We start from the raw sequence: 14,767 nt of genomic DNA, 5'->3' as shown, positions 1-14,767 counted from the left end.
GAATCAGTATATCAAAGGGATTCCTATATCCCCATGTTTATCGCAGCACTATTCACAATAGCTAAAAAAAAAAGTGGAATCAACCTAAGCACCCATGAATGAATGAATGCATAAAGAAAATGTGTGTATTTACATAACGGAATACTATTTGACCATAAAAAGGAATGAAATCATGTCATATACAGCAACATGGATGGAACTGGAGGTCATTATGTTAAGTGAAATAAGCCAAGCACAGAAAGACAAATATCACATGTACTCACTCATATGTGGGAGCTAAAAAAGTTGATCTCATGGAGGTAGAGAGTAGAATGATAGTTACCAGAGGCTTGGGAGGATATGGGTGTGTGGGAGAAGGGGAGGATGAAGGGAGGCTGGTTAACGGGTACAAACATACAGTTAGATAGGAGGAATAAGTTCTAATGTTCAATAGTACAATAAAGTGACTACAGTTAAAAACATTTCAAAATAACTAGGAGACTTGAAATGTTCTCAGCACAGAGAAATAAATGCTCATGGTGATGGATATCCTAAATACCCTGACTTGATCATTACACATTCTATGCATGTAACAACATATCACATGTACCCCATAAATATGTACAAATATTATACATAAAAAAATTTAGGTCATATTCGAAATATTATTGTTACATTCAATCTATTCTTTTTCCCATGTAAAAATTACAAAAGAAATAACCTAAGGGTTATACTCTACTTCCCTGTCTCTCATCAGATAATAAGCTTTTTGGCAATAGGAGAATGAACGGGTAGGAAGTTGAGTGAATAGATGGAACCAAAGATGAATAGATGGATAGAGAAATGAATGCTTTAATGACTAAATAGGAATCTGAAGAAAAGAAAATTAAATGATTTCTTCAATGCTTAAGAAAAAGTTAATGGCAAGCCATATTTAAAACTTAAGTATATTTTTGTTTTTTTTCCACAATATATTTATAAGGAATTATCTGCCTCAGTTATGTACAAATTGAATTATTTCCATTCCCAATATTATCAATCAGATGTCATTTATCATTTTATTCTTAGTTCATTCATATAAAATATACAGTCAATCAGCAAGTATTTTCAGAGGATCTACTGTGTTCAAGATTTTATGAAGCAATACAAATACAGCATAATTTATGATTCTTGCTCTCAGGGAGTTTATAATCCCATAAGAGGGGTGTGAGATATATATAAAACAAAAGACTTAAAATAAATTTAGATGTAGAATGCATTCAACATTTACCTTAACAGTCTTATCTTCAAAAATTGCTAACTTGCCATCAGCGGTTCCAACCAAAAGAAAATTTTTTTGTTTGCTAAAAGGAAAAATGTTGAAATTGTTACAAAAAGAACATGTATGTTGACTAAAATGGCCTTAATGTTCTCCTCCACTTTATTAAACTTTAGATAGACTTCTCAACTATAAATTCCTAACCTCCCTTTTCTTAGAGTATTTACTTTAGAAGACTTGGAATTATAAATTCTTTCTCTGCCCCTTTTCCCAGACTCTTCCCAGTTTTATACCCCAAGAATGTCTTTTCCAAGGACCTGGGAGCCATTCCTTTGAAATGTAATTATCAAGACAGAGGCCTGGCGTGGTGGCTCACACTTGTAATCCCAGCACTTTGGGAGGCTGCGGTGGGCAGATCACCTGAGGTCAGGAGATTGAGATCAGTCTGGCTAACATGGTGAAATCCCGTTTCTACTAAAAATGTAAAAAATTAGCCAGGTTTGGTGGTGCACGCCTGTAATCCCAGCTACTCAGGAGGCTGAGGCTAGAGAATCGCTTGAACTTAGGAGGTGGAAGTTGCAGTGAGCCAAGATCATGCCATTGCACTCCAGCTTGGGCAACAAGAGCAAAACTCCTTCAAAAAAAAAAAAAAGAAGAAGGAAGGAAGGAAGGGAGGGAGGGAGGGAGGGAGGGATGGAAGGAAGGAAGGAATTCCCCAGTGTCTGTGGGAGAGTAGGAGCCTACCTTCAATAAGGGACAATTAGCAAACACAGATGGCCTAATCACATTGACAACTGCTCCCACTTCCTTCCAACAAGGTGCTCCAGTACGTTTCCATTAGCTCACCCCTGCGCTTAAAACTCTCCCACCTTTTGTTTCAGTGGAGTTTAGTTCAGTCTGATCTCTCTCCCCTGCTGTGATAGGCTTGAATAAAGTCGTCCTTGCCCAATTCCATCCATTGAAATTTTTCTTTGACCATATTCAAATAATTTCAACTCCGAAACTGCCAGTGGAGTTGATATTTCAGGTACAAAAAACAGGCTTCACATTTTTCTAGTACTTTTTTTCCAATACTAACTTAAACCAGAGAAATATATAGGGTATAATCTTAATGCCTCCTGGAAATCATCCTGCCCCAAATATTACAGTCACCAACCTACAACTCACACCTGAAATTTTGCTATGTAGATATATTTCTTTGGGACAAGAACCCTGCAATTGATAAGAGCTAAGTCATTTTCACCTATTAAGAATTTATTAATTCATTTATTTAATTTTTTTCTTAATTTGGTAGTTAGATAACTGGTATGTTTAAGCCTGGCACACAATGGGTTTCATATATATATATATATATATTTTTTTTTTTTCAAAGAATGAATGAATGAGAATTTATCCTTGAAGAGGCCCTACAAAGATTCATTGATCTGAGGAGAAGTAAAGAGATAGAGCCACAGTTGAGGTAATACCAGGAGCAGGGCTGGTAGGCCTGAATAAATGGTTGACTTATTTTATAAATGTCTCAGCTAGATCTGTATTCAGAAAAACAACAAATATCTCTGTGACCTTCCACAATTCCCTTTAATATATGCAAACCAATGAAAATAGGCTAAAAATGAACAATCTTTGCTGATGCAATAACAATTATGCACACAATTCAGTCGTTTAAAAGATCTGTAATTTCCCCATTGATCAAATTCACTACCATACCTTTGCTTGGAAAAGGAATTGCAATACAAACAAGTGACAGAATCAGTCATCTTTTCTAGGGTATGTCTCTTTTTCCCATCTTCGGTATTGATGACCAGGAGAGTACCAGACTGTGTCCCAGACACAATCCAGCTTTCCTTTTCAACAGGAAGATGCACCAAGGCTAAGCACAATATTCTACTATCAGCAACTTCCTGTTAAGAAAAGAAAATATACTTAGCAGGATTTGATTTAAGCTTAAGCAACTAGAACTTGTACAGAATAAAGGATTCTGTTATCAACATAACTCTTTTTGCTTTCTTGCATTACTTTTAAAAACAATGCCAATTTTATTTAATTTTCAGCAATAAATGAGTTAATTGGCAGACAAGTTTTGCCTATCAAGATGACATCTGAAACTAAAATTAAAAATTATTTTTCAGTGTGAATTCTCATTCCTTCAAACCATATAAGAAGATTGTTCCTCTCCCTCTCCCTCTCCGTCTCCCTCTCCCCATGGTCTCCCTCTCCCTCTCTTTCCACCGTCTCCCTCTGATGCCGAGCCGAAGCTGGGCTGTACTGCTGCCATCTCGGCTCACTGCAACCTCCCTGCCTGATTCTCCTGCCTCAGCCTGCAGAGTGCCTGCCATTGCAGGCGTGCGCCGCCACGCCTGACTGGTTTTCATATTTTTTTGGTGGAGACGGGGTTTCGCTGTGTTGGCCGGGCTGGTCTCCAGCTCCTAACCGCGAGTGATCTGCCAGCCTCGGCCTCCCGAGGTGCCGGGATTGCAGACGGAGTCTCGTTCACTCAGTGCTCAAAGTTGCCCAGGCTGGAGTGCAGTGGCGTGATCTTGGCTACCTACAACCTCCACCTCCCAGCCGCCTGCCTTGGCCTCCCAAAGTGCCGAGATTGCAGCCTCTGCCCGGCCGCCACCCCGTCTGGGAAGTGAGGAGCGTCTCTGCCTGGCCGCCCATCGTCTGGGATGTGAGGAGCCCCCTCTGCCCGGCTGCCCAGTCTGGGAAATGAGGAGCGCCTCTTCCCGGCCGCCATCCCGTCTAGGAAGTGATGAGCGGCTCTGCCCGGCCGCCCATTGTCTGAGATGTGGGGAGCGCCTCTGCCCTGCCGCCCCGTCTGGGATGTGAGGAGAGCCTATGCCCGGCCGCAACCCTGTCTGGGAGGTGAGGAGCATCTCTGCCTGGCCGCCCTGTCTGAGAAGTGAGGAGTCCCTCTGCCCGGCAGCCGCCCCGTCTGAGAAGTGAGGAGCCCCTTTGCCTGGCAGCTGCCCCGTCTGAGAAGTGAGGAGCCCCTCCGCCCAGCAGCCGCCCCGTCGGAGAAGTGAGGAGCCCCTCCGCCCAGCAGCCGCCCCGTCTGGGAAGTGAGGAGCGTCTCCGCTGGGCAGCCACCCCATCCGGGAGGTGGGGGGCAGCCCCCGCCCGGCCGCCGCCCCGTCTGGGAGGTGGGGGGCGCCTCTGCCCGGCCGCCCCTTCTGGGAAGTGAGGAGCCCCTCTGCCCGGCTGCCACCCCGTCTGGGAGGTGTACCCAGCAGCTCATTGAGAACAGGCCATGATGACGTTGGCGGTTTTGTCGAGTAGAAAAGGGGGAAATGTGGGGAAAAGATACAGAAATCAGATTGTTGCTGTGTCTGTGTAGAAAGAAGTAGACATAGGAGACTCCATTTTGTTCTGTACTAAGAAAAATTCTTCTGCCTTGGGATGCTGTTGATCTATGACCTTGCCCCCAACCCGGTGCTCTCTGAAACATGTGCTGTGTCCACTCAGGGTTAAATGGATTAAGGGCGGTGCAAGATGTGCTTTGTTAAACAGATGCTTGAAGGCAGCATGCTCGTTAAGAGTCATCACTACTCCCTAATCTCAAGTACCCAGGGACACAAACACTACGGAAGGCCGCAGGGTCCTCTGCCTAGGAAAACCAGAGACCTTTGTTCACTTGTTTATCTGCTGACCTTCCCTCCATTATTGTCCTATGACCCTGCCAAATCCCCCTCTGCGAGAAACACCCAAGAATGATCAATTAAAAAAAAAAGATTGTTTAACCTCAGAACTAATGTTGAGGCACAATATTTATCTTCAGGCAGCAGTCAAAATACTAGGTTGTCTTTGAAGTCTAGAAACTTATCTTATATTTGCCAACACAATGTATTGATCCACTTTTAGGAGCCATGTCCAGATCTCCTTTATCCATCAGGTACGCCATCCCCAGCTACCCTGAGTGTTGGCTACTATAGTTCAGAGATGTGCTATTTATCACAGAATACCCTCAGATGACAGGAGGCAGCTTGCCCAGAAATGCCTTGAAAGTTACACTACCCCCACCTCCCAGCAGATTGCAGCCAATGACTGAACAATATGTGAGAATGAAAGACTGGCTCCCTTGCCTGGCAGTGGGAAAATTCTGTGCTCCTATTCATATTCCAGAGCTCCTTGTGGGCAGAGACTGAGGCTGGACCTCTTCAGAAACCACATTTCTGCTGAGCTTTTTCCTCTGCCCTTTCTGGCTTCCTCTACTTCTCTCTAAGATTCTCTTTCCTTAAATCACTTGTGCAAGATAACCCATCTCAGGCTCTGTTTCTAGGGACCCTGAGCTAAGACATATGCTGTGATTCTAAAGCAAAACACATTTGCTCTTGAATACTCTTGTTCTAACAGAAGGCTAATTGAATAATAATCCTACATTGGCTCTTATTTAATTTATTCCTAAGTAACTTTCCAAATGGTATATGCTTTAAATTATGAAAGATTTAAAGAGCATTTGGATTTACCTCAGAAGTGTATCCTTCAGTATTTAAGTCAAGAAATGAGAGCTGTCCTCTGTCGGTGTGCCCACAGCCCAGCCAAATGCTTGCATTCCTGCTGTTGTGATGTGTAGCAACCATGCATTCAACAATTACGTTTTTAGGTAATAAAATGCGTCTCGTCAGACAGACTAATTCAGCTGAATTCAAAATGTCAAAGACCTGAGAAAGTTTAAAGATAACAAAACAGTACTTATCGAGTTAACTCATTTCCCTTGAAAAATCAAATATAGACTGAAGTGTTATAGCTCTGTCAAGCAAAACCTAAAACTGTTAAACTGGAACCCAACTAGATCACCAAGATTAGTAATCTAAACTACAAATAAAATTACATGAAAAGACAAATATGTATTTTTAAACTGTGCTTGATACTCTTTGGTATGTGTAGTATTTTTTTTAACTTGAAAAGAAAATCTCAAGGGTCAATTAAACAGGATTTTAGCGGAGTCAGGAGGTACTCTGCATGCAATTCTATATTGCAGAGCCACCGCCAGTGAGAGAAAAACCCTTGGGCCAACAATTTAGTTGAGCTTCTAGTAGTTGAAAGGAACAGGAATTTCAGTCTTTGGTAACAAAATTTAGAAGTCATCTCTAGATTCTGTTTTTGATCTGGAGAGACAGTGTGAAGGCACCGTAAGAAAACAGAACCAGAAGTCAGGAAACTGGGATTAGAGCTGTGACATGGCCACCTGCCCGCCACTCAGGAGACACCAAGAAAGCCCATTACTCTGTCTGTGCCTCATTTCATAAAAGTGATGAGTTTTCCTGTCTTGCCTAGTATATGTTATATTTTAAACATAAAATAAGTATGTCTAAGCTTTTTAATATTGTCATATATATACATATTTGTTAAGTATTCTGTTAAGTATAGGTGAAGTATAATTGAAAATGAAAAAACAAGAAAGAAAAACAACAAGCTATGAAAAATTTTTACTGTGGACATAAATATAAAAGTTCATGTGACTAACATTGATGGTAACCTAAATTAAAAAACAAGTAAACCAAGTAGAAGAAAAATTATGTAATATTTGATAAAGTCATTATAGTTGTACTTGACTATTTTGATCAGAATACTTAAAGTTAAAACTTTTCCAATTAATTATAATACCAAATCAAGAGCTCACAACATAAAGATAACCCACATTTATTAAAATGTGTATCAGTGTAAAACATGACAAGAGTTCTCTTTCAGATAATATGGTGGACAAGGTTACTTGGGCAAATCTTCCAACTAAAAACAATTTAAAATGCTAAATGATTTTTTTAAAAACAATGTATTAAAAACATTGAAGATCTGACACCATAAGGAATTATCAGGCCGAAATCACAGTGAGAGACAGAAACCAGAGAGGTCAGTGGACCCCTAAAGCCAGACTTGCCCTGAAGACATTTGTCTGCCAAGACAAAGTGAGATAATATAAATGTATACTCTTGGATGCTTTGTGGGGCCCATGGGAGAGAAGTTGGAGTCTAGGGCCTTCCCAAGATAGACAGTCTTAGTAAAGGGACTGTACCTATAAAGCTGGGACCCCAAAGGACTGCATATTCAGCATAAACAAGAAGGAGAAATCAACCTGTCCACATTTCCACCTTCATTGGTATATAAGGAAAGTTGTTCTGGGACTGTGCAGGGAGCGGGGAGAGGGAGCAAAAGGTTGCTGAAAAATTGCTACTCACAAGCTTGTTGTCAATACAATTCATAGACCAGATTTACGTTAACTGGGCAGTTAAAAAACAAATCTCAAGCCATGAACTGCATTTAAAGCAATTTGCAGCAAGAAAATCCAGCAAAAGATATGCAAGACCTGTATGTAGCATTACAAAACTTTATTGAAAGACGCTTGAGAAGACCTAAGTAAACAGAGAGAATTCATGCCATTCCAGAATAGGAAGACTTGGCCAGGTGCAGTTGCTCATGCACTTTGGGAGGCCTAGGCGGGAGGATTGCTTGAGGCCAGGAGTTCAAGACCAGCCTGGGCAACAGAGTGAGACCCTTTCTCTACAAAAAAATTAAAGGAAAAGTTAACCAGGTCTGGTGGCACACAATTGGCTGATGGAGACTGAGGCGACAGGATCACTTGAGCCCAGGAGGTCAAAGCTGCATTGAGCTGTGATCCTGCCACTGCACTCCAGCACTCCAGCCTGGGTGACAGAGTGAGACCCTGCCTCTAAATAAATAAATAAATAAGAAAAAGAATACAAAGACTTAATATCATAAGGATATCATCTCCAGATTGTCAACATATTCAATCCAAGACCAATCCAAACGACAATGTGGTTTTTCATAAGATTTGACAGCATGATTCTAAATTTTATATAGAAAAGCTAAGCCTAAGACTGGTTAAAATATTCCTGGATGAGAAAAATAAATAGGGAGAGGAGATCATTATAAAGCTACAGGAATTAAGACAGGGTAATACTGGAGGAAAAATAAATGAGTTGATCAGTGGAAGACAGTGTACACGTGGATATGCACATTATCTTTAATAAATTACAAAATGGACACATCAGATCTATGGGACAAAAGGGGAGAAGCCATTTAGTAAATCAACCTGAAAAAATTAGTCTTCCACATTAAAAAAAGGAATGGGATACAGATAAAAATGTCAATTCCAATGGATTAAAATCTTGTCAAAAGCAAACTTTTAAAATGTTTGAAGAAATTGCAGGTAAATATTTTTGTAGCTCTAAAAGAAAGATGGGCTCTACAACAGGACCAAATAGGAATAACCAGGAAAAGAAGGAAAAAGAAGAATTGTTAAATTTATATATATTAAAATTAAGAAATTCCATTCATTAACGGGCACCCTACAAGAAATTTAAAAAGCAAGCCACCAGCTCGAAAAAGAAATTGCAACATATAAAACCAAGAAAGGATTAGTATGTTATATATAAAAATTTTTTTCTGATTTGATTTGTAGGCAAAAGAGTCAACAGAAAAATGGGCAAAATAATGGGCAGGCATTTCAAAGAAGAGAAGAGGAGACAGGCATATGGGAGCATGTGAGGTTTTGGCAATGTCCTTTTTTTGTGCCTGGGATGGTGAAAATTATAGGAGGTTTGCCTTATAACTATTTTTAATTCTGTCTCTGTGTGTTTATGTGTTTAAGTATATATATTTGAAGATTATATATATATGCATATATGCAAATGATGTTCTGTACAAAATATTAACAAAACTTTAAGAATACCTGGGCAGAAGTAGGCCTTTCTTGAGGATTTTCTTTCAAACACTGTTTAATTAATTTCTCAACCATAGGCCATGGGGCACAACCATATTCTTTAACTGGATCTAAAACATTAAAAAACATCATGCTAGCATACTAAATAAGTAAGAATGGTTATATTTCCTCTCAATGTTTATAAAAGGTCCAGACATTGCAAAGAAAAATATTATCTCCATAATCCTATATTTATGTAAATTTACTTGTCACAAAATTAAAGCTAATTTTGTTAACTTGATCTCCACTAAGAGATGTGGAAAAGATTTTTTTTTTATGGAATAAAAAGAGACCCAAATAACGATTTAATAAAATAACAGATTTTCATTCTGTACCTGCATTTCAAATAGACTTTGGAAACACTTTTACTCATATAATAAAGCTTCTACTTTTTATTTTAATACTCAAAGTAAGCAAGCATTTAATCCTTATGTCCTCACAGATGGTTTGTGCACATTTGTTTTTTATAAGAGGCGTAGCTTATTCTGGTTGATGCAGAACACAGAACTGAATTTTTTTTTTTAAGATGGAGTCTCACTTTGTTGCTTAGGCTGGAGTGCAGTGGCGCAATCTCGGCTCACTGCAACCTCCCAGGTTCAAGCTATTCTCGTGCCTCAGCCTCCTTGGTAGCTGGGACTACACGCACATGCCACCATGCCCAGCTACTTTTTGTATTTTTAGTAGAGACAGGGTTTCACCATGTTGGCCAGGCTGGTCTCCAGCTCCTGGCCTCAAGTGATCTGCCTGCCTGGGCCTCCCAAAGTGCTGGGATTACAGGCGTAAGCCACTGTACCCAGCAGAGACCTGAATATTTTCACTAGAAAACTAGTAAAATAAGGGAAATAACCTAGATTATATCTAAGGTTTATCCAATTAATAATAAGTTTTCTTTTGCCATGATCTTGAAGTTATACCCAAAAAAGATAAAGCTCTATTTCCTGTACATGGCACATTGTGTACACTCAAAAGTATTTTTTAAATGAAAGGGAAAGCAGAAAATATGAGAAAGAGCTAAATAAACTTAAAATGTTATTTTGTGGTGAGAACTAAAGTAATGGTTAAGGAATGAATTACAAAGTCCTCTAATTTCTTGAAAGCATGAGACAACCATTCCAAATGAGCTTTGATAACATTAAATACACATTTACCGATTCTTATGAAAAATTATTATTATAGATCATTCAGTCTTCCATTCCTGCATGTAAATTATTTCACTCCAAGAAAACGAAAACATTCCAGGATAATGAGTACACAGTAATTCTTTATGAAAATTAAAAATCACCAAATGTGGAGTTCTAACAGCAATTTCCTTCTCTATGTTTCTAAATATAATATTAACTACACCAATATTAATTGCGGATTTTTTAAAAAGCCTAAAACTGCTACCTTTTTCAGGTGATTTTTATTAATATATCACAAGATTTAAGAATATTTATGCACTAAACAAAAAAAATGATCATCTGTTTAAGGAATTAAGCATACAACTACAATTAAATAAAAATGAAGCTGCTGATATTAAGAAAAAAAATCTTCATTGTAGAGAAAACAGAACTTACCAGGTAATTTTCCTTGTATTTCTAATTCATCAAACTCATTTGGAAACTTCAAACCCTCTACTATTCTACCTCCAGTTGTCAAAATGTCATAGAGTAGTAAACCAAATGAATAAACATCAGCCTGTTGGTTATAAATGACATTTCCTCTGGCAACTTCAGGTGCACGAAACCCTGAAAGTAAGCAGATAAAATAATAAATATGACCAACATCAGGGCTCATACATCCAAGGAGGCATACACTTAGGCTATATGCCAAATAAGAGAGTCAGGAAGAGATGTTCTAAACCAGGCTGTGTTATTTTTATAACAAGGTACCTTGATCAAGTCAATTAATTGTCCTGTCTCATAACATCTCACCCCCCAAGGTTGACCACACAGGACAATAAAATCCTTCAATCTTTATTATAAATATCTTCAATCTTCAATAAAATTACCTTGAATGATAATAAGGATAAACATTCAATGGTAAGTTATTAAGTAGAATTTCATAATTAAGAAATAAAGTGTACTAGGAAAACCTATACCATTTTTCTCGTTCCTAATATTAACTATTTCCAGGACAGTGTTTTAAAAACAGGAGAGATGAGTAGAAAGGAGATTTCTAAACTTCACTCCAACTCACTTTAACCTGAACAAAATTCTAACACTCTCATTATTTCCTGAACTTGTCTCTCTGCTCCTTCTACCCAAAAAATAAAAAATAAAAATAAAAACAACAACTAAAACAAAAAAAAAAGCCTTCTCTCTTGGGTTCATGCCTGAAATTCTTTTAAGGGGAAATAAATATTTTATTCCATAAGACAGATAAATTACTTTTAAATTCTTCAGAAAAAAAGAGTGATTTCAACATTTGTGATAATAATAAAAATATAATCAACCTAAAGACATCCAATCACAAAGGGAAATGGTTAAACAATGTATACCATGCAGTAACTTAGGGATCACTTTCTAAGATGATATGCTATGACATAAATTAAAAGAATATGTAAGACATAATCGTGGATAGACAGAAAGTTATCAAATATGTGGAAAAAATCAACTGAATTAATTTTCTTAGCTGTGATAATGGTATTATGATTATGTAAGTAAACATCCTTATTCTAAAGAAATATACACACTGTTCAGAGGTGATATGGCATGATGTCTACAACTTAATTTCAATGATTCATTCATACGCAAAGAGAGCAAGAAAGAACAAGTAGGGCAAAAAGTAAATAATCAATGAATTTATGCGTCGGGTATATGAGTATGAATGTATATTGTACTACTCTTTCTTTCTTTTTTTTTTTTTTTTTTTTTTTGAGATGGAGTCTCACTCTCTTGCCCAGGCTGGAGTGCAGGGGTGTGATCTTGGCTTACTGCAACCTCTGCCTCCTGGGTTCAAGCGATTCTCCTGCCTCAGCCTCCCGAGTAGCTGGGATTACAGGTGCCCACCACCGTGCCCAGCTGATTTTTGTATTTTTAGTAGTGACAGGGTTTCACCATGTTGGTCAGGCTGGTCTTGAACTCCTGACCTCAAGTGATCCACCCACCTCGGCCTCCCAAAGTGTTGGGATTACAGGCAGGAGCCACTGCACCCAGCCTGTACTACTCTTTCAACTGTTCTTTAGGCTTAAACATTTTCAAAATAAAAAGTTGATGGGAATGTACATAATTAAAATCTAGGAAGAAATACATCCCAATATAATTATTATTTCATTTGCTAAAATTATCTGTGCATTTTATCTTCCTTTTTATTTCCAAAATTTTTACAATGAACTTATATGATTGTTAAAGTAATTTAAATATGCAGCCAGAAAAATATAACGAAGTATGAATTCATAGCCTTCAAGGAGCAAATGACTGAATTTGGAAACAGTTCTATTTGACAGAGAGACTACCAGCAAAAGATGGAGCTCAGCAGTCCTCACCATGCTGGAAAAGCATGAAGAGTTGGAAGGATGGAGACATCGAATTTGAGTATGATAACCCCTACTACACTAACTGATAACATTTCCCCACATATATGCATGTAAATATATTGTATACATAGTAATATATTAATATAATTACATATAATTATCATGTGAATTAGCATAATTTACATACTATATTGTTACAGATACAATGTTTCAGACCTAAATATATTATACATTTCCTTAGAATAAGGGCATTTTCCTATATAACCATAATATAATTCTCAAAATCTAAGTTAAAGAATTGTGTAATTAAGATAAAACATATCCCTAATAAAGTGCACCTGTGACATAATGTAAACAAATCACAATAGCTCCTAATTCATCTCTCTCTACTATTTTACAGACACCTTATTGAACATTTCATTTGATTTGCATAAGAATCATCTGTGGTAGACAGATAAGGACTTTCTATTTTACAAACGACATAATCCTTTCAGAAATGTGTGTATTTTCCTAAGGCCACACAGATAATGAACAGCAAAGTCAAGAGTACTTAAAAATAATGAGCTACCCACACAGTCACTAGTTCATTAACAACCTTTATGCTTCCCTTCTTAGAATGTGGAAGAGATTTTGGAGGCTTATTTAAATCTTAACCAGTTATTTATTATTCATTGAGCACATTTATTAGGTATCTATTATATCTAGGTACTATTCAAAAACTATTTAAATGTTCAGCATATTTTTTCTTGATAAATGTACTGTTAGAATTTGGAATCACAGGCTCTTAAAGCAGGAAAAGACTCTAGGGGTCATTTCGTCTAATTCTAAATTCTCATCCAGTGCACACATCCTTTTACAATAGTTTTTACCCCTCTAGGCAACAATCCGAAGATGGTAGAGCTGTGAAGAAGGTTGGGATTTTTTTTCACAATGAGTCAGAGAACTCAGAGAAAGATAACTGTGAAGATATGGAAATGAATATTTACTTCAATATGGAAATGCTTTTAAACTTCTAATCTTCTCCTTTTCAAAGTAAATATCTTCATTGGCATGATCTCTAGCATGAAAACATAATATTATTTATATATTCATAAAGTGCCTCAATTATAATATAATACCCTTCTAAAAGCTTCTTTAAATTCATCCAATGAATTTCTAGTGTTCTTGATTGCACTAACAATTTCTTGATGAACATCATGCCACTATTAAGTGGTAGAGCCAGTTTGATGCTTAGTAAATGTTCAATGTATTGTTGCCAAATGAATGAATAAATGAATAAAAAATAAGTATAATTTCCCCTTGGATAATTATCATAATGATTACAATGTTAAAATACTTGAGAAAATATGATTCATTGTCTAAAAACTATTTTTAAAAATAATTTTTCAGAGAAGCCTGCATTTTAACAAACGCAATAAGTAAATAAAGAAAAGATCCACGGATGAAGGATAAGAGAAATTTATGAATTAAGTCTGAGTACATATCACATTGTGTACTGAAACATATCTTTTATTTTTTACTTTCAGAGAAGTATGAGTAGAGTATGTTCCATAATCTCCATCAGATATTCATGTATGTCCAGCCGGTAACATTTTATTTACCCGAAGACTATAGTATTTATATGGGTGTGTTAAATACTATCGCATTAGTTAAATGTTAAAGCCATCAGTCAGCATTCATCTCAGTCAAAAGTGCAATTGCCATAGGACCCAGAATTAACTGTCACTCCCAGCAGGATATGATATAAATGTATCCATCTGACTGAGTTAATGTTGAAACTCTCCAAGTTATTTAAAGGTGAAAATATCCAAACCATAATTATCTTCAAAATGTGGACAGACACAGCACCATGGTCCCTGTCAATAATTGCATTGTTTCTGTCTCTGCGTCCCCAGCTATCACAGTGCTGGACCAGGAGCTCTGCTCTCAGGCTGCTTGGGTTTGCATTTTGTCCTACAGTTTTTGTCCCATAGGACCTTGTAAATGTTTTTTTATATTCTCTAAACTTTAGTCTCTGTATCTATAGACTAGAAATAATAATAGCACATATGTCAGAGGGTCCTAAGGATTGAGATACTTAACTCATGGATAGAGCTAAGCACAAGCCCAGCACATCGCTCATGCTCTGGAAGGTTCTGCTCCTAATACAGCCGTAATGGACCTACACTCATAATGCACACGCTGCAGTAAGAGTTAGTATAAAAATACACCCAAAAGGTTTAACAAATCCATCGTCTTTTGTTTCTCTAGAAGTTTCCATGTTAAAAGATGTAACATTAACAGGAAGATTCATTAAACGGAAAAGACAAGAAGATAACTGAAATTGTATGAGAGGGAACTGTTTCCTTCCCAA

At 37.5% G+C, this 14,767-nt stretch overlaps 1 protein-coding gene and 1 long non-coding RNA gene across 9 annotated transcripts in view; one reads left to right on the top strand and one right to left on the bottom strand.

The window, feature by feature from the left end:
* Positions 1 to 2,685, top strand: part of LOC105369736 (uncharacterized) — an 89,145-nt gene extending 86,460 nt beyond the window's left edge. The window contains exon 6 of the long non-coding RNA XR_944868.3: positions 2,610 to 2,685. This is a non-coding gene — a long non-coding RNA (uncharacterized LOC105369736). The remainder of the gene's footprint in view (positions 1 to 2,609) is intronic.
* Positions 1 to 14,767, bottom strand: part of LRRK2 (leucine rich repeat kinase 2) — a 144,289-nt gene that overhangs the window by 11,849 nt on the left and 117,673 nt on the right. For all 8 annotated transcript variants that reach the window (XR_007063041.1, NM_198578.4, XM_005268629.5 and 5 more), the window contains 5 exons: positions 10,514 to 10,684; positions 8,928 to 9,028; positions 5,704 to 5,898; positions 2,945 to 3,138; positions 1,250 to 1,322 (listed from right to left, as the gene is read on the bottom strand). Coding sequence is in view for 7 of the 8 variants with exons in the window: in NM_198578.4 (NP_940980.4) it covers positions 1,250 to 1,322; positions 2,945 to 3,138; positions 5,704 to 5,898; positions 8,928 to 9,028; positions 10,514 to 10,684 (734 nt within the window). In the remaining variant the exon portion in view is untranslated. The remainder of the gene's footprint in view (positions 1 to 1,249; positions 1,323 to 2,944; positions 3,139 to 5,703; positions 5,899 to 8,927; positions 9,029 to 10,513; positions 10,685 to 14,767) is intronic.

Source organism: Homo sapiens, chromosome 12 (assembly GCF_000001405.40).
Source record: "Homo sapiens chromosome 12, GRCh38.p14 Primary Assembly".
Classification (NCBI taxonomy): domain Eukaryota; kingdom Metazoa; phylum Chordata; class Mammalia; order Primates; family Hominidae; genus Homo; species Homo sapiens.
The sequence above is the reverse complement of the archived record's forward strand: the minus strand, read 5'-3'. Positions and strand labels throughout refer to the sequence as shown.